This window comes from Homo sapiens, chromosome 16, assembly GCF_000001405.40.
Source record: "Homo sapiens chromosome 16, GRCh38.p14 Primary Assembly".
In the NCBI taxonomy this organism is placed as follows: Eukaryota; Metazoa; Chordata; class Mammalia; order Primates; family Hominidae; genus Homo; species Homo sapiens.
Window position 1 is genome coordinate 19,598,406 of NC_000016.10, and position 27,326 is coordinate 19,625,731.

The window sequence follows — 27,326 nt, forward strand, 5'->3', positions numbered from 1 at the left end:
ATTTCTCAAAATAGTTGTCTACTAGCTTAATAGACAAATCACTTTTTTCAGTAAAACTAATTTTGTAGTTAAAAGATCCTTAAAATATGAAAGTGAGGCCCAGTACAGTGGCTCATATCTGTAATCCCAGCACTTTGGGAAGCCAGTGCAGAAGGATTGCTTGAGCCCAGGAGTTCAAGACCAGCCTGAGCAATATGGTGAGACCTCGTCTCTACGAAAAATTTAAAAGTTAGCCAGGCAAGGTGGTGTGCGCCTGTGGTCCCAGCTACTCAGGAGGCAGAGGTGGGAGGAGCCCCTGAGCCCAGGAAGTTGAGGCTGCAGTGAGCTGTGATTGCTCCACTGCACTCCAGCCTGGGTGACAGAGCAAGATTCTGTCTCTTAAAAAAAAAAAAGTGAAAAAGAATGTGGAGATGAAATTTTTTTTAAAAAAAAGAAAGCTAGTTTTAGAGGGATGGCAACTTTCGTGTAGGAAATAAAGGTGTTTTGTGCTGGGTTCATTCTGTGCACCATGGGAGGTGAGAAGTTATGCAGCCACCTAGTGTGGTTTGCTGTGTGATGGTCCGAGGTAACATTGCATGCATCCCTAATGCCAGGGTTCTGGGGTCATCACAAGGGAGGCCTCTCTCTACACGAGGTGTGGCGCTATAGGGAACCCAGAGCCGCTGATAAGGAAAGCTCGTTCTGCCAGGAGGAAAAAGGCAGGTGGCTTTGAGAACTGGGGCTTGTTCTCTAAGGCCTTCCAGGGGCTTCTAAATGGAGCCAGTGGTTTGGAGCAGTGCTTCTCATACTCAGCTGCACATTGAAATCACCTGGGCAGCTTTACAAACACCCACAAAGTCCCAGCTGCATCCAGACCATTTAGAAGAGGACCTCTGAGGATGGACACAGACATCCACATATTTTCAATAGTCCCAGGTGCTTGGAGTCTGCAGCCCAGTTGGAGAAGCACTGGCTCAGAGGGAAAAGGGAAGTTTGTTGCTATTTCTGTAGATTCCAGAGGCAAGGCAAGTTTTAGCTCAGAGACCCACTGGTGTCTGCCTAAATCAGTGGTTCTCACATTTCAGCATGTATAAGGATTTCCCAGCAAGGTTATTCAGAAATCCATATTCCTAGTCCTCATCCTCCAAAATACTTTTTTTTTTTTTTTAAAGACAGTGTCTCACTCTGTTGCCCCAGGCTGGAGTGCAGCGGCACAATCATAGCTTCTATCTCTGCCTCTCAAGTAGCTGGGACTACACGCGTGCACCACCACGCCTGGCTATAAAATATTCTTTTCCAGTAGCTCTAAGGTGGGCACCAGGAATCTGCATTTTCAACAAGTGCCTTCAGGAAATTTTAATGTAGGTGGTCCAAGGCCAGGTGTGGTGGCTCACACCTATAATCCCAGCACTCTGGGAGGCTAAGGCAAGCAGATCACTTGAGCCCAGGAGTTCAAGACCTGCTTGGGCTGGGAATATAGGGAAATCCCATCTCTACAAAAAAATAATTAGCCAAGCATGGCAGCGCATACCTGTGGTCCCAGCTACATAGGAGGCTGAGGTGGAAGGATTGCTTGAACCCAGGAGGTGGAGGCCGTAGTGAGCTGTGATCACGCCACTGCACTGCAGCCTGGTGCCAGAGTGAGACCCTGTCTAAGTGAATGAAGGAATGAATGTAGATAGGAAGGTATTTAGGTAGGTGGCTCATACTAGGAGAAGCACCTGGGTGGAACCTCTTAGCTTGGCTGGCTTCCTTCACTTAATCCTGCCTGATCCCACGTTCTTTAACCTGAAATGATCTTTGTATTTTCCTGTCTCTTTTTCCATGTATGGACAAGCTGTGTTGTTCTTTATTGCCCTGAATAAAGGGTTATGAAAAAAAAAAAAAAATCTCATAGAGGGAAATACTTTCACATTGAAGGTGACTTAGGAGAGCTTAGAAAATGAATAAGGACTCTAATTTTTTACTTCCACATATTGATAACATTTTGAAAATACATGCACAGAATAAATAAAACTTTTGATACCAGTTTAGGGGTCCAGGCTGCCTACCTGTTGTGTAGAGTTTTATTGGAACGCAGCCACATCAATTTGTTTGCACATTGTGGCCACTTTTATGCTACAGTGGCAAAGATGAGTCGTCAGGAAAGTGACCCATGACCTACAAAACCTCTAGTATGTTCATCCATCCAACAAATATTGAGTACCCCCTGTGTGCCAGGCACTGATCAGTACTAGGAATATGTCAGTGAACAAAACAAGCACAAATCTCTGCCTTTGTGGAGCTTGCATTCTAGTTGAATCTCAAATTCTGAGGCTTCTAGGGACCAGGCAGGTCACATAAAAGAGTGAAAAGCACGCTGATGATGAGAGACAGTAGGGGGTGGTTGAGACTGGCAAACTGGTTAGTGTATATGCCATTTCAAGGGGCAGCTACTAATTTGCTCTAGCTGTGTTATCCTATAGAGATATCGCCACATTTTTGACATATTTTATGTGAAGAAGGAGAAAATATGGCATGTGAGTTCTCCCAAGTTGTAGAGTTTGTTTTAGTTTTTGTGTTTGAGACAGGGTCTTGCTCTCTCACCCAGGCTGGAGGGCAGTGGGTGATCATGGCTCACCGCAGCCTTGAACTCCTGGGCTCAAGCAATCCTCCCACCTCAGCCTCCCAAGTAGCTGAAACTACAGGCGTGCACTGCCATGCCTGGCTAATTTTTAAATTTTTTGTACATACCCTGTCTCACAGTGTTGCCCAGGCTGCTCTTGAACTCCTGGGCTCAAGCAGTCTTCCTGCCTCGGCTTCCCAAAGTGCTAGGATTACAGGTGTGAGCCACTATGCCCAGCCTCTTCCAGTTTTTACGTGTTGGTAACCAATTCAAAAAATGTTAAAACACTTTGTGGGCTGTTGTGTGTTGTGGAGTGGCCATGCACAACTGGTCACAGGCTGGATTCAGCCCGTGGGCTGCCTGTTTTCACCTCTGGCCTAGCATGGAGTGTGGACCATCGTCTGAGTGGATGGAGATACTTGAGACTCCTTTAGATTCCAAAGGGTAAAACGATCACTTTTCTGCCTTTCAAAGAAAGTAAAAGTCTACTGGAAAAACTAAAAACAAAACAAAAAAAATGTGGCTTAAAATCTGTCCCACCAGGTGGCAGCATACCATCACAAGTTAAAGCCTGTCTGGGCGATGATAGCTCTGGGTCCCTAATTAACAAACATTTATTTACTGTTTGCTCCTGAAGAGTGTGATACTAACACCATCTGTCCTTTTCCTCCCAGGAAAGCTCGTGTACGAGCGCATCTTTTCCATGTGTGTGGATAGCCGCAGCGTCTTACCAGGTAATGTCGCAGCTGTTCCTGGGGTGTCATTCTGCCCTGGAGTCAGGACTAGAAGGCTTTTATTGAGTCAGGATTCATTGAAGCTTGATAAAGGTTTTAATTTTGGGTGTGTTAAAGTAAAAGAAACACCTTTGAAGATTTCTGATCACCTCAGTCTTCTAAAAACATTAGAAGGTTTCTAAATGGCCCGTGTAGGAACTCAGGCAAGTCATTTGAATCTGCAAAGGCCTCACAGTTAGATTCAGCCAAACTTTCACACGAACATATTTTCCTCTGCTGCTTGACTTTAATATTTTTCCTATGTATCGTTCCCTCCTAAGAAGCAACTTGCTTGGAAAAAAAAATCAAAAACGACTTTATGCATATTAAAGAATGATGTCAAATAGATCAATAGTAATTGATGCTTTGAATTCACAATCTATACCCAAATGATTTTGCATTAAATTGACTGTCAATCAAGTTTAAATTCCCAGGAGGTTATAATGGGACAAGTGGATGATGAATTTCTTTTGTCGTATAAATGGTAAGAATGATGTGTCTGGCAATGCAGGACTCTCAGCTGCAGCATCCTTTGCCTTTATTCCTCTTTTTAACTTCCGAGCACTGCTATGAGGAAACGTTCTCATCCGTCCAAGCTAGAGCAACCAGCTTGCTCCATTGCCGCTCCACTTCCCTCCGCTCCTGCAGTGGGGCTTCCCAGGAGGTGAATAGAAAGTGTTTGTGACAGTAACCTATAACCTGACCTATATTCTTCCTTCTTTCCTCTTTCCTTTATTCCTCCCTCTCTCTCCTCCTCTCTCTTCCTCTCCCTCCTCCTCTCCCACCCTCTCCTTTTCTCTCTCCTTCTGCTTCCTATCTGTCCATCAATCGATCAATTTATCTTTATTTAATTTTTTTGAGATGGACTCTTGCTCTGTCACCCAGGCTGCAGGGCAGTGGCACAATCTTGGCTCGCTGCAGCCTTCGCCTCCCGGATTCAAGCGATTCTCCTGCTTCACCCTCCTCAGTAGCTGGGACTACTGGTGCCTGCCACCACACCTGGCTAATTTTTGTATTTTTAGTAGAGACAGGGTTTGTACCATGTTGGCCAGGCTGGTCTCAAACTCCTGACCTCAAGTGATTCATCCGCCTCGGCCTCCCAAAGTGCTGGGATTATAGGCATGAGCAACCGTGCCCGTCCCTTTTTTTTTTTTCTATTTAATATTTTTACTTTTTCATCTTTGTAGACACGGGGTCTCCCTATGTTGCCCAAGCTGCTCTCAAACTTCTGGGCCCAAGCAGTCCTCCCACCTCAGCCTCCCAAAGTGCTGGGATTATAGGCATGAGCCACTGTGCTTGGCCTGTCTTTTTAATACTATTTAATGTGCACATTTGTCAGAAAGAAAGAGACAGAACTCAACAGGCTTTTAGGATTTTTAGCTCTTGAAGGCTTTTTAGGTCTTGAAGTGCTTTTAGGACCCATCTTGTTTCATCAGAGATGGGCAGACCCAGTACGGAAGAGTCTTGCCCAGGGCCCTGCCACCAGCTACTGAGAGCCTTGCTCTTTCTTAGTGCTGCATCTACATTGTCCAGTACAGCAGCCACTGGCCACGTGTTGCTCTTGAGCACTTGAGATGTGGCCAGTCCAAATTGAGATGTGACGTAACTATTAAAAAAGACACCGGATTTCAAAGAGTCAGTACAAGTAAAAGACGGTAAAGTAGCTCACTAATAGTGTTTATGTTGATTACATGTTGAAACGGTATTCTGGATGAATCGGGTAAAGTACATGATTAAAATTAATTTCCCCAGTTTTTGACCTTTTTAATGTGGCTCATGTGGTTTTTCTTTGGGACCCTCCACGCCACTGCGTCACACCTGTGACGATGTTTTTTCAGCAGCTCCTCCTATGTTCTGGCCATCTCAGGGTTGGAGGCAGTGATCTGGGAGAGGCAGGCAGAGGCCAGCCCAAGTGGAAAGGAAAGGCCTTCTCCGCTGGCTTGAGGATTTGGGAAATCTGAATTGTTTATTTATTTATTTATTTTTGAGATGGAGTTTCACTCTTGTTGCCCAGGCTGGAGGGCAATGACGCAATCTCAGCTCACTGCAACCTCCGCCTCCTGGGTTCAAGCGATTCTCCTGCCTCAGCCTCCCAAGTAGCTGGGATTACAGGTGTGCACCACCACACCCAGCTAATTTTTGTATTTTTAGTAGAGATGGGGTTTCACCATGTTGGCCAGGCTGGTCTTCAACTCCTGACCTCAGGTGATCCACCCACCTTGGCCTCCCAAAGTGCTGGTATTACAGGCATGAGCCACCACGCCCGGCCGAATCCATTTATTTAATATACACTTGCCAGCATGTAGCATGCTATACCATTGGCAGCAAACTTGAGCCAACAGGTGGAACTGAACCAAAATAGGTTTTTTTTTTTTTTTGGCAACAACAGCATTTAAAAAAAAATGACTTTTGATACAGGCTCTAGTTCTTCCTATTGTTATATACCCAACCTCTTAAAAATTTTCATATTTACCTGCCTGGCCCCCAGAAGCATTTGAATTTGCCTCTACTGCAATAATCTTCCTTTCTCCCAGTCTTCAGTGACTATACAAACAACATTTTAGGGCCAATTAAGGAAAAATTACTAATAACTAACTCCTTGCCTAAACTTAAAAGTTCAAAACAACAGATCAGTCCTCGTTTAGATACATTAATTATAGCACTTTTATCACTAAAATTCTTCCCTCTCCAAATAACTATTTTTGATCTTGAGCAAAGCAAATGATTTGGTTTTTTTTTCTTTAAATGATATCATTGTTTGTTTTCCTTTTAGCTAAAATCTTCATCTGCTTGTGTTAGCTCCAGTTCCAAGAACCTGAAAAGAACAGTAGATTATGTTTTTCAAAGTTGTTGGTGATCTGAGGAATGACTCTTAAGTATAATTATCATGAAAGCTTTAGAAATCTCCTGTGCAGAATTCTGCCCAAAGAGATTATGTGTGAAGAGAAATTTGGTGGCATTTGTACTCATTCTTTCCATTTAAATCAAGTTCTGTTGGGTGAATTTCATACTTGAGCCCTTTGCCTTCAGGAATTTTAACTAAGGTATAGCTCTTCGGAGTTGAGAAAGATACAGTGTCTTTTGGGTTCATGAAAATCACACACTATTAGATGTGGTCATTTTTTCCCAACAGTTCTTAATCCAGCTTATGCATAAAGAGACCATCGACTCTGAGAAGTCAAATCATTTTATTTCCAGCTTGGGAGAGATAATTTGGGTTTATTGTATTATGGTTCCCATCACCATCTTCTCAGCATTCCCATCTTCAGTTTTCCCCTGTGGCTGATGTGGGCCACATCGGGATAAGCAGTGGCCTTAACTGACCTGGCCTTTCCAGCACATGCTAACTAAGATGGTGCCAATCCCTATAACACTGTTACGTAAAGAGACCTCTCGCTGCTAGGGTAGAGACTTGGCAAATAAATGAAAGAACTAGACTCATTGGTCTCCTGCCTTCTCTTAAAATACCCACAGAAGTTCAGGTTTGAAAAAAAGCAGCACCATAAAAGAAAAATAAGTGGGAGCTAGAAAAAAAATCTCTGTTCTTTGTTATATTGAAGTGTCTTCTGAATTAATTTCCAGATTTTGAAGGAGTCCCCATGTAGCAGCCCAAGTGCTGAAGTCTAAACTGTGTCATGTCATTGCCATTCCTGTGCCCAGAACCCTTCAGGGGGTTTCCATTATGTTTAGAAAAACTCTCAAACTCCTCACCAAGGCTTCAGCCCTGTATGAACTGGCTTGTCATGCTGGCTGCTCCCCTTTCTGCTCAGCAAATTGGCTTGCTTTTTGTTCTTTGACCATAGTGAGGTTATACCTACCTCAGGGCCTTGCACTTGCTGTTTTCTTTCCCTGGAATATGTTTCTTCCACATCTAGGCATGGCTGGCTCCCTTTCGTAGTTCAGGGCTCAGCTCAAATGCTGCCTCTGTGGGAGCCTTCTCTGACCACTACATCTAATGAGCCCCTTCCCCTAAATCACACTCAAGTCACTCTTTATTCCAATACCTAGTTTAGTATCTTTAATAGTACTTACTGCTGTTAGATATTATCTTATTTGTTTGCCTGCTTATTCTCTTTCCTGTTTAGCATTTGTCTCACCCCACTGGAATGTAAGTTTCATGAAGATAGGATCTACCTTGTGCACTGTTATCTCCCCAAAGCCTGGAACACCACCTTTAGTTGGCCCTTAAGGCATTTGTGTTGAGCACATGAAGTAAAGGAATATAATATTTAGTTTGCTGTAAGATTTTAAAGTCCCACGTAACATAATCCTTTTCCTAAATTATCTCTTGAGCTGGAAGGAAAGCCTAAAGATTCTGTATTGGTGTATGCAGATTGTCGTATAGCTTGTAGTCAATGCGTGTATGCAAGGCAGCCTGCCTTTAGCCTGATTTCCAACTCTTTCAGGCAACCTGAACCAGTTTGTTTTAGCCATTGCTGAATCTCAGTTCCTTCAGCTAGACAGTGAGAGATTTTGTAGATGACCTCAGAGACCTATTTTTGCTTTTGGATTTTAAGCCACAAGATTCAGTCATATGAAGGGAAATTAACACTGCTCTTCCCTCTCCCCAAAGAGAAGATTGACAAATGAATGTAAGAATAACTGCTATCTTTTCCTGTCTGGATCTCTTGAAAGTAGAAAAAAAAGTTACTTCATGTGTAGAGATCTAGGCTGGAAAGGGGAAAATGGTCATTTCCCATCCTTTTGAAAATGGTAAGCAAATAGTTCTCAAGTGAATGAAGCATGCCAGACATCCAAAAATAGAGTGAGGAGATTGCAATTTCAAAATATCTGCAGTGATTAGTGACTGTTCTCTGCTAGAGAAGTACCTAGAGGTTTATCTTTTTTTGCTGATTCTATGGGAATTTTGATCACCTTCATATACTACCAAATGACAGAATCAGGGATGAAAATGACTCATTGCAAAACAGGATGAAAGCCAACAAGCTAAGAATCATTTGCTATATTCTAAAGTAACTAACTTCTCCCTTTTAATTTATTTATTCATTTTTTAGAGAATAAATAAATAAGGTCTTGCTCTGTCTTACTCTGTCTCGCTCTGCCCAGGCTGGAGTGCAGTGGCTCAATCATAGCTCACTGCAGCCTCAAACTCCTGGGCTCTATTGATCCTGCCACCTCAGCCTTCCAAGTAGCTGGGGCTACAGGCATGAGCCACTGTGCCTGGCCAGCTTCTCCCTTTTTGAATTAATCCTAAAAGTATAAAACATCCAGTGGTGGGATGGAGCTCTAATCTTTGCTGAAATCATTTCCATGTGAGAGGTTAACAAAGGCCTTCATGGTGTTTGTAAGTTTTGTGTTTTTTCTTTCATTTCTCCATATTCTCTTCCATTCCTTAAGATGTATGTCAAGTCCAGAACTGTGAGAAATAAATTTCTGCTGTTTAAAAATATGTATGTCAAAATCAAGCTTGGGTACCAGTTCCAGAAAACTCAAAATAACAGTAATGAAGGTCAGGGCCGATGGGCCAGCTAGCCCCTGGTACCAAGGATCCTCACTTCTGTCTTGTTGCTCTCATGGTCAGTATGGCTGCAGAGGTTCCAGCTGTCATGTCTGCATTCCAGTCAGTGAGCAGAAAGAAGAAGTGAGGGAAGGCAAGCCCCTTTCCTTAAAGATACTTCTCAGAAGTTGCCCTTCTATTTATATATCCTGGGACCAGAACTTGACCCACGTGACCACACCTAGCTGCAAGGATGGCCCTGTGTCCTGCAGGAAAATGCGAGTTCTTTTATTAAAGAGGAAGAGAATAGCTAATGGAGTAAACTGGCAGTTTCACAAGATGACTCTCTTGGAGCCAGTCGTGAGCCGGCAACATAATTCTGGCTGGTTTCTCACCTCAGAGGCCTTGTTTTACCTTCCTCTGGCCCATTGTGATGTGTAGAGCAAAAGCTTAGATCACATTTCATGTTGCAGTCGCAGGTCCGTAAAGCATCTGGAATTCTCAACAATGTTGTCATAGTGACTGGTAGGTAACCAAGAACCTCTGGATTATATTAGAGGCAGTGGCTAAGAATGTCGGCCGCAGGGCCAGAGTGCCTGGGTTGAATTCTAACTCTTACATTTGCTTGCTGTGTGCCTTGGGTGAGTCACTACATTCCTCTGTGCCTTGGTCTCTGCATCTGTAAAATAAGATAATAAAACTACGTACCTCAGAGGGTTGCTATATGGGATCAGGTGAGCTGTCTGTAAAGCACTGCGAACGACACTTGGCACTTAGAAAGCCTGTGTCTGTGTAAACTATTGTTATCATCAGTTACTTCCTAATAGTGATATTTGGAAGGAAAGAAACAGGCTGAGTCACCCCCTTTTCTGCTCCAGGGTAATGTATTCCCATCCAGGGACTCACACAGATCCTGAGATTTAGGAGGGCTGATGGATCTTGTTTTTTGTATTACAGATCACTTTTCTCCAGAGAATGCAAATGACACGGCCAAGGAAACATGCCTAAATTGGTTTTTCAAGATTGCCTCCATCAGGGAACTCATTCCAAGATTGTATCCTTTTTTTTTTTTTTGGTCTGATGATTTTAAAGATAGGCTAAAAGAATTGTACTGTTAATAGAAGCCATGTGATGGGATGCCCTGACATTCTTATTGAAAGTTTGGTCCCGTTACGGTTGCTAGCCTGAAAACACATACAGGGCAAGCCACATTGTAGAAACCCTTGGACTCTTGCTCTTTCCAGTTTTTTGTCTTTTACTTTGAATACGATGCCATGTGTCAAGCATTTGTTTCCTTGAGGAACATTCCCACCTTAATTCTCTCAATTAAAATGCTTCATATTTGTGTTTTCTCTGATTCCAAGAACTTGAAAGAACAGGGTCAAGCTTTGCAGGGCAAATGCTACTATTGAAGAACAGATAATTTGACTTATACATAAATTCCATCTTAGTTACCTAAAGTTCTTTCTTTCCCCATAAAGCATTGATTAGAAATGCTCAAAACCCAGTTTATATTTCAGCATGCAACTATGAATCAACGTATAACATTTCCCACAATTTATTTCAAATAAGTATGAAACTTTGAAAACCATATGTAGAAACCATAAGCTACCTTAGTTCGCTGGATTGTTGAGGGCCACTGTGGTCCCCATCTCCTAAGACCCGCCTACTTCTATTCATGGATAGTTTAGTCTTTTCTCCATAGGGAGTAGACCTTCTGGAAAACATCTTCCTTAACAGGATGTTTTTGTAGTTACGTGGAGGCATCCATCCTGAAATGTAACAAATTCCTCTCCAAAACGTAAGGCTCTTCGGTAAAATCTAGAACCATAAAATTTCTAAAAATCTCCCATGTGTACACAGATAGTAATGGCAATGTAATAGTAGCCATTATTCACTGAGTACTTAATGTGTGTTAAGCACCTTCTGTTCTTTTTCTCATTGAATCCAAATGAAAACTGAATGAAGTAGAGACACCATCCTAATCCCCATATTAGAGAGAGGAAAACTCAAGCCTGGAGAAGTTGGTTAAGGAGGTCATGGAAGATCAGCTCAACTGGATTTGAATCTTGGCTGTACTGGTACTAGCTGTATGGTCTTGAACAAGTTACTTACAGCCTCAGAACCTCTGGCTCCCTCTCCTGGGAACATGACCCTAAGAAGAGGTCTGAGGGGGTCCTTTGGGTCACACATGCAACAATGAGAGTCACCCCTGGCACACGGTGGGCCCATCCTCCATGTTGGCTGCTGTTGATGATGATGATGATGAAAATGACGTCAGAAGCAGAAGCCTTTGCCCTTAGTGGCTTAGGTCCATGCCACTCAATTTATCACAATGTTTTGAGAGTAGTTACAGGACGTGGGGGACCCAGATCTGCTTTCTGCAGAGCAGGTGAAATGCTGAGTCATGTTAGATAGCTAGATAATAAATTCCTTGAAGCCCGGGAGTGACTGATTCATGGTGCTCCACAGATAGCTCTACCGATTGGATTTAGAATTTATCTCAAGTGTGTTGGATTTGGATCTAGGGTTGCCTGGAATAGTTTGGGGGAATAACATGGGGGCTGAAGAAACATTATTTTGCCTCACCAGTTGGAGGAGGATAATGCCTTAGGCAGAGGGAAGACATACGTTGCAGGAGAAATAAATTGTAATTCACATTGTTGGTGGTTGGAGGATGTCAGATGCCAGCCTGAGATTCACGGAAGGAACAGGGTACGGGACAGTAAATCTGTGGCAAACGAAAATACATGTGGAGAGAAGATCAAGGGGTGCCCAGTCGATGGAAAATAATTGAAGACAAAAACTGTTAAAATTAATAAAATAAATGTGACCTCGACTGGGGAAAAAATGTGGTTAGCCTCCACCACTGAGCAAATGATAACGATGAAAGAAATCATTCAATGAATGAATTGTATCAGAAGAGAAAGACTGTTGTTACATTGCCTTAGAAAACTGAAACTTTGACCTTGGTTTGTTACTGAAACTTGATTTTTCCCCCCCTCCCTGAAATTTAGGAAGTCTTTATCTTTATTTAAAAAATTAAAGAACAGCGAGTTCTCACGTCGAATATAATGCTGGCCTGTTTTTGTCTCTTGCAGGGGAATTTCAGAGTGCCTGCCCCGGTTGACATGCATGATCAGAGGGATCGGAGACCCACTAGTGTCGGTGTATGCCCGTGCCTACCTGTGCCGGGTAGGCCATGCGAGTCACTGCCCTTGACGGCACGGCTGCCACCCGTCTCCTTGAATGTTCACACAGGGCCCTCCTTCCCCACCACCCCGCAAGTCATTGAGAGAAGGACTTTATTAGTGGCTAATTTTAGATCATGGCTCTGCCACAGAAAGTAGAACTGTAGGGTTTCTTTTAAAAATTAATTTTAAAGTAGACCAACTTACTGTAGCTCTAATTAGGGGACGTTTAAGGTCATCTTCTTACAAATGAACTGGTTTTCAGAAGTAATTGTTTCTCAGTTCTTGCTGGGAAGGAGGTTCCCAGGGCCTTTGGGCTAACAGGTTGCTTTTCATTGACTTCAAACATGCTCTTCCTTTGTCTTGACTTTGATTGCTTTATTAGTTTTCTGCTTGGCAGGGGAGCAGTGTCCCACATGATGGCAGGCCTCAGGGTCTGTGTGGCCTGGCTTAGGTGGCTGCTGTGAAAGGGGGTAGAGGGACTGATTAGAAATTACTTGCCCATGCCCTGCTTTAAAGCACCGTGAGGCTTCAGCTAAGCTATTAAGTTTTTTGTGTATGGAAAAAATGTAACCAATGGAGGTTATATGGTCTTTCTTTTTTTTGGAGATGGAGTCTTACTGTGTCGCCCAGGCTGGAGTGCAGTGGCGCCATCTCGGCTCATTTCAACCTCCACCGCCTGGGTTCAAATGATTCTCCTGTCTCAGCCTCCTGGGTAGCTGAGATTACAGGTGTCCGCCACCATGCCCGTCTAAGTTTTGTATATTTAGTAGAGATGGGGTTTCACCATGTTGGCCAGGCTGGTCTCGAACTCCTGACCTCAAGTGATCTGCCCACGTTGGCCTCCCAAAGTGCTGGGATTACAGGCGTGAGCCACTGCGCCCGGCCAGTATATGGTCTCTCCATAGTTTTCTTCAGCTCACACAGGGGCTTTGCCTCTGTCAGGACTCCCCCTAGCAACGAGAATCTTCCCTATCGTCCCATCAGTATTGCACATCCTTAGAGAGGGATCATTGCACCTGATAAGCCCCAGACTTCCTTGAGGACAAAGCTGCAGTTAGAGCCTCCCCCATGAGTTTGCACCTTATTAAATCAGAAGGCGAGAACATGTAGCCTGTGATTTGCCTCTTCTGCATGACAGCCAGCAAATGTCGGAAGCCCTGTGGTCTCTCAAGTTTCACGAAAAACTAAGTCAGTGCCCTCAGAGTGAGGAGCAGATATCCATTAGGAAGGGCACTTTTTATAGGTCTGTTTCTTGATACTGAGAATGAAAGAAAAAGCCTTTCGTTTAAGGGCATCCTCTTCCCTCTTTGCAGCAGAGGCCAAAGTGTGTATGCATCGCCCACTGCTTGAAACCTGGGGGGGATTTTCCATCCAGAGATATCAGGTGTGTTTCCAAGGACAACTTTTGAATATATTAAAGCTTGAATACTCCTCCCAAGTCAGTGTTTGCTGAGGCCCTACTGTGCACAGAACACAATGCCACATCCTCTGGGAGAGATGCAAAGATATTGTTTGCATATTTCTTTTTCCTTTTTTTTTTTTTGAGATGGAGTCTCACTCTGTCGCCCGGCTGGAGTGCAGTGGTGTGATCTCAGCTCGCTCTAACCTCTGCCTCCAGGGTTCAAGCAATTCTTCTGCTGCAGCCTCCCGAGTAGCTGGGACTCCAGGTGTGCGCTACCACGCCCAGCTAATTTTCGTATTTTTAGTAGAGACGGGGTTTCACCATGTTGGCCATGATGGTCTCAATCTCTTGACCTCATGATCCGCCTGCCCCGGCCTCTCAAAGTGCTGGGTTTGCAGGCATGAGCCACTGCACCCGGCCTTTTTTTGTTTTGTTTTGTTTTGTTTTGTTTTTTTGCACCAGAGTCTCACTCTGTTGCCCAGGCTGGAGTGCAGTGGTGCAATCTCAGCTCACTGCAACCTCTGCCTCCTGGGTTCAAGCGATTCTCATGTCTCAGCCTCCGGAGTAGCTGGGATTACAGGCACCTGCCACCATGCCCAGCTACTTTTTGTATTTTTAGTAGTGACAGGGTGTCACCATGTTGGCTAGGCTGGTCTTGAACTCCTCACTTCAGGTAATCTGCCTTCCCCGGCCTCACAAATTGCTGGGATTACAGGTGTGAGCCCCCGTGCCCAGCCTTGTTTATGTATTTCTTCTCTGCTGCCTTTTACCTTGTAGAACATAGCAAATGCTTTGAACACACCTTGACATCATTTGAATAAGGCCTGATATCGGAGACCCGGTGATAAAGACTTAGAATCATGCTGTCTCTTCTGCAAATAATTCTGGTTATTAAAGAGAAATCAGAATGTGGGGAAGTATGTATTTTTTGCAAGCCTGTTCCCTTTTAATGTTTGAGATCAGGTATGTGAGTTAGGGTACACGATCATGTTTGTTACATATAAAGTGCCTTTGAATGGCAGATGCAACTTGAAACACAGTGACAATGAGGAGAAGATGCAGAGGACAGAGCAGACCCCCCACAAGATTGGTAGTAGAGTGCCCTGCGTCTGTTGAAATCATTTTTGTCAGTCCAGGCAATGCATTGATTCCGCTGGTTGGGTAGTTTCTAAAAGTCTCTTTAACATTAAAAGAGTAAGAGAGACCAAGCGCGGTGGCTCATGCCTGTAATCCCAGCATTTTGGGAGGCCGAGGCGGGCAGATCACTTGAGGTCAGGAGTTCAAGACCAACCTGGCCAACATGGCAAAAACCTGTCTCTACTAAAAAATACAAAAAATTAGCCGGGCGTGGTGGTACACGCCTGTAGTCCCAGCTACTCGGAAGGCTGAGGCACGAGAATCACTTGAACCCAGGAGGCAGAGGTTGCAGTGAGCCAAGATCGCGCCACTGCACTCCAGCCTGGGTGACAGAGCAAGACTGCCTCAAACAAACAAACAAAAAGAGACAGCCTGTGTATTAGTAAGATTTCTTTCAGTTCCAAGTGGCAAAACCCAGTTCATACTACTTTAAGCAAAAGTAAGAACTTACTGGCCAGTGTCTGGAGAGGCCAGGGTTAGTGCAGGCATGGCTGGATGCAGGCCCTCAAAGGGTGCTGTCAAGAATCAGCCTCTCCCCACATCACTCAGCTCTGCTGTTCTTTGAGTTGGCTTCATTCTGTGGCTTGCTTTTTTTATATGATGGCCCATAGCGGCCTCTGGCTTCCATCCTACCACCTTAGGAACCTTATTGGAAAGTGTGTCTTCTTGCCAGTAGATCTAGCCAGAGCCTCAGGGCTGATTCTTGGTGGATTACCTCGGGTTGTTTGTCCACCCCTAGACTAGTCACGTGGCCATGGGTTGGGGTCTGGGGTTGGTGTCTGGGTACTTACTGACTGGGTCACATGCCCTTGCATGGAGCTCAGGGTGAGGTGGATCTAGCTCCACCACAAACCTCATGGTCCAAGAGGAAGGTTTGATTCCCCAGAGACAAATCTAATTTGCCGATACCAGCAATGGGGGGGATGAATGCTGGGCAGGCCGAAACAGCAGATGGGAATCATGAGCAATACCCTTGCTGCTCTGGGTAGAAATCTTTTAGACCCAAGCAGATATCCAAGCTGCTCATTTGGCCCGATGAGAAGAGAAAAACAGAAAACAAAAGCTCTGAGTGGGTAGAGCGTGGGGGGAGCTTGAAGCTGTTATTAAAGGAAGGTATGATTAACTCCTAACTCACAGCCGCTTCAGCTCATCTCCATGGCTCAGCCACCAGGCCAGCCTTTGCTGTCACCTAACAGATAATTATTGTCTTTTCTACAATATGATTAAGTGGAAGGAGAATCAGAACACTGTAGAACTGGATCTGATATTTCTTGTTAGCATATATATATATATTTAATCTATGTGCTTGTCCTTGAAAACAGCACTTCCTGTACCCAGCAATCACAGAGCTGCTCTTGGAATTTAACACCCTGGTGGTTCTCAAATGCCATCTGAAAAACATTATTAGTGTTACCCATCATGACCTCTGGGTAGTGGAAGGTGAATGGGAGAAATCTCTCCCCATTTGAAGAAATAGGGAACCAGTCTCACTTTGTTGCCCAGGCTGGAGTGCAGTGGCACAATCTTGCTCACTGCAACCACCACCTCCCGGGTTCAAGCGATCCTCCCACCTCAACCTCCCAGGTAGCTGGGTCTACAGGCGTGCGCCACCACACCCGGCTAATTTTTGTGTTTTTAGTACAGAAAGAGTTTCACCATGTTGACCAGGCTGGTCTCAAACTCCTAACCTCAAGTGATTGGCCCACCTGGGCCTCCCAAAGTGCTGGGATTACAGGTGTGAGCCACTGCAGCCCAGCCTACGAAGTTGTTTTTGCGGTTAAGCAGCAATTTGGAAACGAAGCATTTCTGAGGAGCTCAGTTTAAGAAACACTGTGATGTTGTGTTTTAAACCTATGAACTCCCCTCCGTAGCTCATCCCTCTACTTTTCCATCTAACCCCAGTACTGGCACCTTCTCTATGATTAGTAAATTTCTTCAGCTAGAAATGTTACAGTCTGTTTTTTAACAATGAAGTCAGGACCCAGTGGATTATAGCATTGTTACACTTCATGCTCATGTTATATAAAATTGCATAAAATGTATTAAAATTTATGTCTGCTCTTATCTCTGCCTTGCAAAGAATGAATTTGTATAGCTTTTAACTAAGCATGTAACGGGGGCAGCACCACATCTGGAATTCAAGCTGACTTTCTCACGTACCGTAATCTTTGTGCTTGGTCTAATAAGTACAACCCCATGTGTGTTTATCATTTTTTTATTGTATGCACAATCTTGAGAGTACATTCCTTTTTAGTTCTGTATTGATTTGTTCTCTTGGTCGTCTGTTCAGAAATACATTCAATACCTTTGGGGAAGGGCAAAGATGATTTCTGCAAATGTTGCCCTTTTTTATTAAAAATAGCTTCTGTGGTCTTTCTTATAAAAGCAATACATGTTTATTGAAAAAGAAATCAGGCTGGGCGTGGTGGCTCACACCTGTAATCCCAGCACTTTGGTAGGCCGAGGCAGGCAGATCATCTGAGGTCAGGAGTTGGAGACCAGCCCGGCCAACATGGTGAAACCCCGTCTCTACTAAAAATACAAAAATTAGCCAAGTGTCGTGACACATGCCTGTAATCCCTGCTACTTGGGAGGCTGAGGCAGGAGAATTGCTTGAACCTGAGAGGTGGAGGTTGCAGTGAGCCAAGATCGTGCCACTGCACTCCACCCTGGGCAACAGAGCGAGACTCTGTCTCAAAACAAAACAAAAAACAGATAAGGAAAAAAAAAATAGGCCGGGCGCTGTGGCTCACACCTGTAATCCCAGCACTTTGAGAGGCCAGGGTGGGCAGATCATGAGGTCAGAAGATCAAGACCATCCTGGCCAATGTGGTGAAACCCTGTCTCTACTAAAAATACAAAAATCAGCCAGGCCTGGTGACACATGCCTGTAATTCCAGCTACTCGGGAGGCTGAGGCAGGAGAATCCCTTGAACCAGGGAGTCGGTGGTTGCAGTCAGCTGAAATCGCACCCACCGCACTCCAGCCTGGCAACAGAGCGAGACTCCATCTCAAAATAATAATAATAATAATAATAATAATAATTTTCTGGACTTTTTCTGTGTCTATAAACATAGGTATATATATTTTTTAATTTCCAAAAATAAAATCATACTATAGTCATTATTTGCAACCAGTTTTTCCATTTGTCTGGCTGCAGGTGGGAATGGAAGTGGCCCCACATCTCAAAGAAACCCTAAATAAGAACTTTTTTGACTTCCTCCTTACGTTCAAACAGGTAAGAGAACACTATCAGAATAGCTCATCGATATAACAGTTCTATGATAGCAAATTCACAAAACCCAGTTGGTTTTCCAAGTGGAGAATGCCTTAAAGCTCTTTAAATGTGCAAGCCCTGGAAAATTACACTAGCTTCTGTTGTAGACAATTAAAATGTGTTGATTGTACTGAATAAGCGGAGAAAGTTAATATGCATGTGTTAACAGGAAACGTCTCCAGTCGATCAGCCTTGCTTCTGAGCATCTGCTGGCTCCATTTTTATCAGGTTCCTGCTTTCCACAGCGCTCATTCCCAAAACAGCTCGGCTTGGTGACATGAGAAACTTTCTGTGTTTTTTTTTGGTTTAAAAAAAAAAAACAACCGAGAAACCAGGCTATTTCTCTCAGGGCTGTCCACATGCTTACAAGTATGCACAGTCTGTGAGTTGTGTATGTTTTGTTTGTTGTTTGGTTTTTCCCCTCCTTTTCTAAGTGTTTGTTTGGCCTCCTGTAGATTCATGGGGATACGGTCCAGAACCAGCTGGTGGTCCAAGGAGTGGAGCTCCCATCTTACCTCCCCTTGTACCCGCCTGCCATGGACTGGATCTTCCAGTGCATCTCCTACCATGCCCCCGAGGTAACTGCCAGGTGGCTTCAGTGTGACGCTCACCTCCTGTATGGTGACAGCCCCTGCCCACTGTGCCCTTTAACGTTAATGGGACCCTTTCATAACAGCTATAGCAATGTTAGTGCTAGCCAGCCTTTATAGAGGGCTTGCCATGGTGGCTGGCTCTGTGCTGAGTGCTTTTCTGAGATAGTCTCATTTTGACAGCTGTGGAAGGGGAATGTGGTAGCTCCAGAGGCCATGTACCTAAGTGAGGCCACACAGCTAGAAAGCAGTTTGGTGGCTGGGTGTGCTCATATCTGTAATCCCAGCACTTTGCAAGGCCAAGGTGGGAGGATCACTTGATTTTAGGAGTTTGAGACGAGCTTTGGCAACATAGCAAAACTCCATCTCTACAAAAAAATAGAAAAAATTAGCCAGACACGGTGATATATGCCTATAGTCCCAGCTACTCAGGAGGCTGAGGTGGGAGGACCACTTGAGCCCCAGAGTTCAAGGCTACAATGAGCTGTGACTGTACTACTGCACTCCAGCCTGAGTGACAGAGCAAGACACTGTCTCATTAAAAAAGAAACAAAAAGGAAGATGGTTGGTGACTTGATACAAACCCATAGAATTGGGCTCCAGGGCCAACAAGCCTTATTGCGTCTTCACTTAACCTTCATGTACCCCTTTTGTGTTTATAATAATCCAATAAAGTCTGTAGAGCAGGTATTTTATGGAAGGAAAACAAAACTCAGATGCTTAATTTCTTTTATAATTTTATTTTTCTTTTCTTTTTTCTTTTTTGCCAGTTGAAGTATTGTCAGGAATTGAAGTGACATCAGAATCATAGCAGACACATATTTTCTTTCTTTTCCAAGACTGAGAAGCAGTTTTAGTAGAACACCAATTCAAACTGTCATGAAGACTGTGATAGGCCGGGCACGGTGGCTCATGCCTGTAATCCCAGCACTTTGGGAGGCTGACGTGGGTAGTTCACTTCAGGCCAGCAGTTCAAGACCAGCCTGGCTAACATGGATATATAGGTGTATATCACCATGCCTGGCTAATTTTTTGTATTTTTTTGTAGAGATGGAGTTTCACTATGTTGCCCAGGCCTGTCTTTTGTAAAGACCCTGTCTCTACAAAAAATACAAAAATTAACTGTGCGTGGTGGTTTGTGCCTGTAGTCCCAGCTACTCAGGAGGCTGAGGCAGAGAATCGCTTGAACCTGGGAGGCAGAGGTCGCAGTGAGCCGAGATTGCACCACTGTACTCCAGCCTGGGCAACAGAGCCAGACTGTCTCAAAAAAAAAAAAAAAAAAAAAAAGACTGTGATAGATGAAGCTTTCCTTGTCTTTATTTGATCATTGAAAAGTAAAGAGAGACTACAAAACAAGGACATATAGAGCAAAGCAAAGTTGAAAGACATCTGCCTTTTCCTAGATCTTGCCAACACATGTTGAAAGCTGTACAGAAAAGAAAAAAAAAGGACATGACTTTAACCGAGCAATCCCACTTTTACGAATTTATCCTGTAAGTTAGACGAGTGCATAAACATTATAAACACACACAGAGATGCACACACGGTTTGTTCACGGTAGTGCAAAATTGGAGGCAAGCATCAGAGAGGACTGGTTATGGTATGTGCATTCAGTGGGGTGTTAATGGGGCCATTTAAAATGATGGAGACTCCCGATGATCTGTACATACTGACGTAAGGGTATTCATGGTATATGGCTAAGTGCAAAAAGAAAGTTACACACATTGCTGTGTGTGCTGTAAGTGGCAGTGTGGCCTAGTGTTCAGGTGTGGGCTCTGGAGTCGGGGTGCCTGGGTCTGCATCTCAGCTCCGTTAACAGCTGTTGTGATAGAGTAGGGAGCAGGTAACTTGTTCCTAACCACTCTGAGTCTTCTCTCTTTATCTGTAAAATGGGAGCAATATTAATGATTCCTATTTTCTAGTCCGTTGCAAGAATCAAAGAAGTCACTGTATCTACGGTGCTTAGTGTAGCGCCCCACATCTTAGTACTCGCAGACATGATTTTTATATCTGTGCGAGAGAGTTGGGAAGGAGAAATGACAGAACATCACTGGAGTGTGAGATTTGGGGCCAGCGTAACTTATTTTTCTTTGCCTATCTGTTTTTTTTTTTTTTTCTTTCTTCCTTTGAGACAGAGTCTCACTCTGTCTCCCAGGCTGGAGTGCACTGGTGCAATCTCGGCTCGCTACAACCTCCACCTCCCAGGTTCAAGCGATTCTCATGCCTCAACCTCATGAGTAGCTGGGACTACAGGCATGCATCACCACACTCAGATAATTTTTGTATTTTTAGTAGAGATGCAGTTTCACCTTGTTGATCTCGTGCTGATCTCTAACTCCTGGCCTCAAGTGATCCTCCCGCCTCGGCTTCCCAGAGTGCTGGGATCACAGACAAGAGCCACCGTGCCCAGCCGCCCATCTCTGTTTTCTAACTTTTCAACAAGTATGCACTGCTTACCTTTTTACTTTTTGAGATTCTAAATTATGAGGAGAAAAACTGGGACATCTTGTACTTCAGGTGAATAGTCTTACCATTAAGTAAATTGATTTTAAATCAAGCCAGTATAAAGGAAAGATTGTTTGAAGTTTTGCTGCTGGTTCTCTATGGTCCTCAGCATAGTTTCAGCAACCACATGCTGTCCTCCGCTTCTGGGAAGGGTACCATGAACTCGACTGTTTTCTTGGTATTCCACTGAACGACGGAAACATACAAGCAGGATTGACGTGGTGAAATGAGAACGCTTTTTTTTTCTTATTTTAGCGAAAGGCAAAATCAGATTAAAAACAAAATGTCACAAGGCAGTCTTCTTTTTATTTTAAGCCCCAGTCATCTCAAAGGATGGCAGAAGCTGGGAATAAGCTCTAGGAAATCATTATTGCACTAGAATAAGTGATTAAAAAATTAGGTCAGCTGAATAATAATAAACTCTGATTCTTGGGCACACTTAAAGGACATGCAGTGTCTTGTTAAAAAAAATAGTCATTTTCAAACTGCAGAAGAATTGATGTCGGTATGGAAGGTGGTGTTAAAGGTGCATGTGACAATTTGGTGCCTAAAAGCTCTTTGATAATGGCCGCTATGAGTCACCTGCAGAGTAGAACTGTGTGTATCCATTAGAGGCCAAGACTTCAAAATAGGGGATGGTAAAGTTCGGCTGCAGCAATTGGTAATATACAGGGCAGGCAAGTGAGAGAGGGAAAGGAGAAATACCTTTAGTTGTGAATATCTCATCTACAGAATTTCAAATCGAAATTGAAATCCAAGGTAAAAAATCAAGGCATGTCTTAGTCCGTTCGGGCTGCCATAATAAAGCGCCATAGAATGTTTAAAATAGAAATGCAGCCTTGGCCTGACTTCTTTTCTCTCCTCCTGTACTTTTGAAGTGGGTAAATAATTATAAATAACCTAATCTGGAGATCACCTTAAAAAATCCAACAGTTAAATATGGTTGTGGTTCTCCAACTCCATATATATTGGTAAAATGGTCATTGAATTAGACACAAAGACATGCTCTTTTTCCCCCAAAAAGTATGCATGTAAAACTTGGTGAAATTGTCTAGTTAGTTGTGTTATACTAGTGTCAGTTTCCTAGCTTTAATAATGCATTATAGTTATGTAAATGGGAGAAGCTGGGTGGTGGGTACCCAGGACTTCTCTCTACTGTTTTTTTCAATTACTGACGAGTCTATAATTAATTCAGAATGAAAAGTCTTTTAAAAATCCTTCAATTGGGATGAATACTCCATTCTCCATGATGTGATTATTATGTATTGCATGCCTATACCAAAACATCTCATGTACCCCATAAATATATACACTTACTATGTACCCTCAAAAAATAAAAATTAGGCCAGGCGTGGTGGCACATGCCTGTAATCCCAGCACTTTGGGAGGCCAAGGCGGGCGGATCTCTTGAGGTCAGGAGTTTGAGACCAGCCTGGCCAACATGGCGAAACCCCATCTCTACTAAAAATACAAAAATTAGCCGAGTGTGGTGGCATGCGCCTGTAATCCCAGCTACTCGGGAGGCTGAGGCAGGGGGATTACTTGAACCCAGGAGGTGGAGGTTGCAGTGAGCCAAGATCACACCAGTGCACTCCAGCCTGGGCGACAGAGCAAGACTCTGTCTCAAAAAAGAATAAATTAAAAAAAATAAATAATTAAAAATTAAACAGAAAACAAAAACAGACATCTGTCAGTTAGGGGCAGTTTGAAAAATGCTGTTATATCCATGGCATGGATTAAATAGCCATGGATTAAAAGAGTGAGGTAGATTTGTGTAATAACATGGAGAAGAGAGGGCCATCTAGATTCTCCATTAAAAAAGGCCATATTTAAATATCTCCAACCCAGTATTTATAAGAGTATCCCATTGTGTAAAAACAAAACTAGGCTTCTGTAATAATATATATCCATAAAGCACAGGCAGAATTCTAGATAAGAACATCAAAGTCCTAGACAAACACCAAAGTGTTGACAGTGGTGATTTCTAGGACATGGAAGTTGGGAGGGGGGGACATTCGCATCTTTCTTGATGCATGTCGATGTTGTTGGGACTTTTGTCTATAAAGCATTTCTTATTTTTACAATTTTTAGAAAAACAAATGTTACATAAATAAGTGGCATGTAGGGCCAACAGCAACAATAACAAAAGCCTAAAAAACAAACCAGCACACCAAGCAAATGCCTGCCTTGTGAATCTTCTGAATCTTCAAGTTCTGCTGTGTGTGAAAATGAAAGAAATATGCTGAGCTGCTTTTTCAGTGGTTGATCCCAGCCAAAGGGCTTGTTTCAATCTCTGTCTGCTTTGAGCTGTTGTTCATCGTGTTCTTGCCAAAGATAATCAATTCTGTCACTTCTTAGAGGGGAAAAAATCAGTAACCTCCAGCAGACCTGCCCGAGGATCTATAACATTTGGCTCTCCGAACACTTACATGTATTCCCAAGTTCCTTTATGACAACAGAGCCTTTGGTTTTTTAAAGTTATATTCTTGGATGCATTTTTAGTGCATTCATCTTTTGTGAGAGAGGGAACTTTTTAAGCATTTAACTTGTCTTAGTGGTAAGAATCTTTTGTCCATATGTTGGGATTTGCCCTAGTTAATCTTTCCAGAATTGGTGGGCCAGGAGGTCTCATTTATGTGTGTGTGTATGTGTGCATGTGTGTGTGCACGTGCATGCATATGAGATACAGTAAACCTCACGAAGGCATGGGTTTCTGTGTTTTCCTCCCATCTTACCCTCAGTGTCTGGAACAGTGGCTGGTATAGTCATCCCTTGGTATACTTAGGGGATTGATTCCAGGATCTCCATGTATATCTTTTTTTTTTTTTTTTTTTTTTAAGACGGAGTCCTGCTCTGTCACCCAGGCTGGAGTGCAATGGCCCGATCTCCACTCATGGCAACTTCTGCCTCCCGGGTTCAAGCAGTTCTCCTGCCTCAGCCTCCCAAGTAACTGGGACTACAGCCACGCCACCACGCCCGGCTAATTTTTGTATTTTTAGTAGAGACAGGGTCTCATCATCTTGGCCAGGCTGGTCTCGAAATCCTTACCTCAGGTGATCCACCCACCTGAGCCTCCAAAGTGCTGGGATTACAGGCGTGAGCCACTGTGCCCGGCCCCCACGTATATCAAAATCCATGCTGTGAGACTCAAGTCTCACAGTCTCACAGTTGGCCCTGTGGAACCCGTGTATACTTGAGTTTGGTGTCTCACAAATACTGTATTTTCGTTCAGCATATGGTTGAAAAAAATCCGTGTCTAAGTGGATCCACGCAGCTCAAAACCATGTTGTTATTCAAGGGTCAACTGTATACTAAAGTTGCTCGTTAGGTAGGCGTTGAATGATTATTTCTGTGTGTCAGGGAGTGTCAGTGTGATGATTACACAGAATCTCTTTTCCTCTCTTAGCCTTTTCCAAAGGCCACTTTGCTATTGGTCTTTAAGAATGACTTTTCAAATGTAAATACCCAAGAGTGGGTTAGGGAAGCCATTTATGATGTGGTCAATTTTGTCACCAGCTAGGGTGCTTTTGGCTGCAAGGAACAAACATCTAACTAGTCTGGCCTCCACATATAATTCCATGTGTCCTCCTCCACAACAAGTGGAGGCTCTCGGGTGATCAGCTTCAGTGCATCTTTTTGCTCTGCTGTCCCTGATTAGTAGCAAGGTGGGGGCAACCATTCCAGGCATCACGTCCAGAGCCGACAGCATCCAGGGAATCTTTGATTCTTGGGTCCTTGTTTAAGAACAGGAAACCTTTCTCCAAATCCCCCCGAAGACTTCCCATCCTGTCTCAGCAGCTAGAAATGGATCATGGGCAAGGGGAACGAGAGCCACTGTGATTGGTTTGGGTCTGTATTAATCTGCTTGGGCTCCCTTAACAAAATACCCAGACTAGGAGCTTAAACAACAGACTTTATTTTCTCATAGTTCTGAAGGCTAGGAGACCAAGATCAAGGGGCCAGCAAGGTTGGTTTCTGGTGAGGCCTCTCTCCTTGGCTTGGAAACTGCCACCTTCTTGCCGTGTTCTCACATGGCTTTTCCTCTGTGTACACGCATCCTTGCTGTCTCTTCCTATAAGGAGGTTAGTCCTGTGGGATTCGGATCCCACCCTTATGACTCCATTTAACCTAGAATAGTGATATTAGGGGTTAGGGCTCCAACATAGCAATTTAGGGGAGATATAATTCAGTCCGTGACAGAAGCCAACCTAGTTTATGTGAGGCATAGATGGAAATCTGAATAAAATCAGGGTTTTGGGGTAGGGATTCCAACAGTATCTCCAACGTCAGCTCTCACTTATTCAGGCAACATGACAGAGAGGGGTGCCACCAGAAAGGGTGGAATTGCACTTAAGAACCCTCCTTTTATTTTTTTACTTTGGGTCCAGACGTAGATATAGATCCCTTTTTTTTCTTTATTTTTTACTTTTTACTTATTTATTTATTATTATTATTATTATTATTATTATTATTATTATTATTATTATTATTGTTTTAAGACAGGGTCTTGCTCTGTTGCCCAGGCTGAAGTGCTGTGGTGCAGTCTTGGCTTACTGCAGTCTCGACCTCCCAGGCTCAAGTGATGCCCCCACCTTAGCCTTCTGACTAGCTGGGACTATAAGCACACACCACCATGCTTGGCTAATTTTTAAATTTCTTTTAGAGATGAGGTTTCGCCATGTTGCCCAGACTGGTCTTGAACTCCTAAGGTCAAGCCATCTGTCCCCATCAGCCTCTCAAAGTGCTGGGATTACAGGCATGAGCCATCGTGCCTACCAGGTCTTTTTTTTTTTTTTTTTTTTTTTTTTTGAGATAGGTCTCACTCTGGTGCCCAGGCTGGAGTTCAGTGGCACAATCACAGCTCACTGCAGCCTCCACCTCCTGGGCTCAAGTGATCCTCCCACCTCAGCCTCCTGAGTAGCTGGGACCACAGGCACGTACCACCACACCCAGCTAATTTTTTAAAAAATTTTATGACTGGGCGCGGTGGCTCACTCCTGTAATCCCAGCACTTTGCAGGGCTGAGGCGGGCAGATTGCCTGAGGTCAGGAGTTCAAGGCCAGCCTGGCTAACAGGGTGAAACCCCATCTCTACTAAAAATACAAAAAAATTAGCCAGGCATGATGGCACACACCTATAGTCCCAGCTACTCGGGAGGCTGAGGCAGGAGAATCTCTTGAACCCAAGAGGCGGAGGTTCTGGTGAGCCGAGATCGCGTCACTGCACTCCAGCCTGGGCAACAGAGTAAGACTCGTCTCTCTGTCTCAAAAAACAAACAAACAAACAAACAAAAATACTTATGTAGAGATGGGATCTCACTATATTGCCCAGACTGGTCTTGAATTCCTGGGCTCAAGCGAGCTTCCCACCTCAGCCTCCCAAAGTGCTGGGATTACAGGCATGAGCCACCACCCCTGGCCTGCACAAATCCCATTTTTGCCACTTATTAGGAAGTGTCTTAACCCTGTCTGAGCTTTGGCTTTTGCATCTGTAAAATGGGGATAATGTTCCATGGACCTCACAAGGACATGGTGAAGAGTAAGAGAGTAAAGGGAAGTCAAGGACTTAGCCCGAAACCTGGGCAGTGCTCAGTGTCCTGTAATTACCTCTGGTCTTGGGCTTGACCTTCCCCAAACCACTGCCCTAAATGATCCTTCTTCCATTGATTTTCTTAAAAACAGGAGCTCTTTTAAAGATATGTAATTGTCTTAAGATAGCTCCAAAGCCATTAACAGTATTCCAATGAGTTAAAAAAAAAAAATCTGCTTCCTTTGGCGGAGGCGGGGAAAATAGACTTCAAACTGTGTTGGAGAAGAAATGTATTGAAGAACGTGGCCTTTGATCCCAGTCTGCCCAGGTTCATGTCTGCCTGCCATCACTAACTGTGCGACCTTGGGTGAAAAACACTGCTATTCGTGGCTTTGTTTTTCATCTGTGAAATGGGAGAATAGAGCCCCTGCTTCAAGGGTGGTTGGGAGAGGTAAGATCGTGAGTGCAAAGTGCTTCTCACCATGGCTGGTGGGCACTAAGCTCTAGCCCAGTGTTTGTTGCTGATATTACTAAGTGCACCTTGGGCACCTCTTAAAATGGGGAAGAATGTGGGGTTACAGAAGAGGTGGGGAGCAGAGTAATTATCGTTCTCATTCATGCCCTGGAGTGCAGGAGTTATCTCCCATCATCCTGTAGTGACCCCACAGATGAGATGATACCACTTGTAGCCTTTCAATAAGGACAAGGAGACCCAGGTTCGACAGAGTTGGCAACTCTTCCGAAGTCTCATCATTGGTAGTTGGTGAGGTTGGATTTGAATCCAAGTGTGCCTGATGCCAGGACCCTAGCTTCTGTTGATTGATCAGTTGATTGATTGAGACAGGGTCTCCCTCTGTCTCCCAGGCTGGAGTGCAGT

General features: G+C 43.9%; 1 protein-coding gene across 7 annotated transcripts in view, besides 1 other annotated feature; it reads left to right on the forward strand.

The window, feature by feature from the left end:
- Window positions 1-27,326, forward strand: part of VPS35L (VPS35 endosomal protein sorting factor like) — a 145,461-nt gene that overhangs the window by 42,703 nt on the left and 75,432 nt on the right. For 3 of the 7 annotated variants that reach the window (NR_158161.2, NM_020314.7, NM_001365293.2), the window contains exons 9-14: window positions 3,259-3,318; window positions 9,773-9,869; window positions 10,569-10,616; window positions 11,917-12,010; window positions 17,709-17,786; window positions 18,281-18,403. Coding sequence is in view for 5 of the 7 variants with exons in the window: in NM_020314.7 (NP_064710.5) it covers window positions 3,259-3,318; window positions 9,773-9,869; window positions 10,569-10,616; window positions 11,917-12,010; window positions 17,709-17,786; window positions 18,281-18,403 (500 nt within the window). In the remaining 2 variants the exon portion in view is untranslated. Of the gene's footprint in view, window positions 1-3,258; window positions 3,319-9,772; window positions 9,870-10,568; window positions 10,617-11,916; window positions 12,011-13,322; window positions 13,394-17,708; window positions 17,787-18,280; window positions 18,404-27,326 lie in introns of all 7 variants that reach the window. The other 4 variants (NR_158160.2, NM_001365294.2, NM_001300743.3 and 1 more) reach the window with 2 other exon arrangements.
- Window positions 10,817-12,016: an enhancer, noted in NCBI's record as "MED14-independent group 3 enhancer chr16:19620544-19621743 (GRCh37/hg19 assembly coordinates)". NCBI's record gives its function as "activates an origin of replication core promoter dependent on BRD2, BRD4, P300/CBP and CDK7 cofactors, and independent of MED14, by STARR-seq in HCT116 cells {active_cell/tissue: HCT116}" and the evidence as "EXISTENCE:reporter gene assay evidence [ECO:0000049][PMID:35650434]".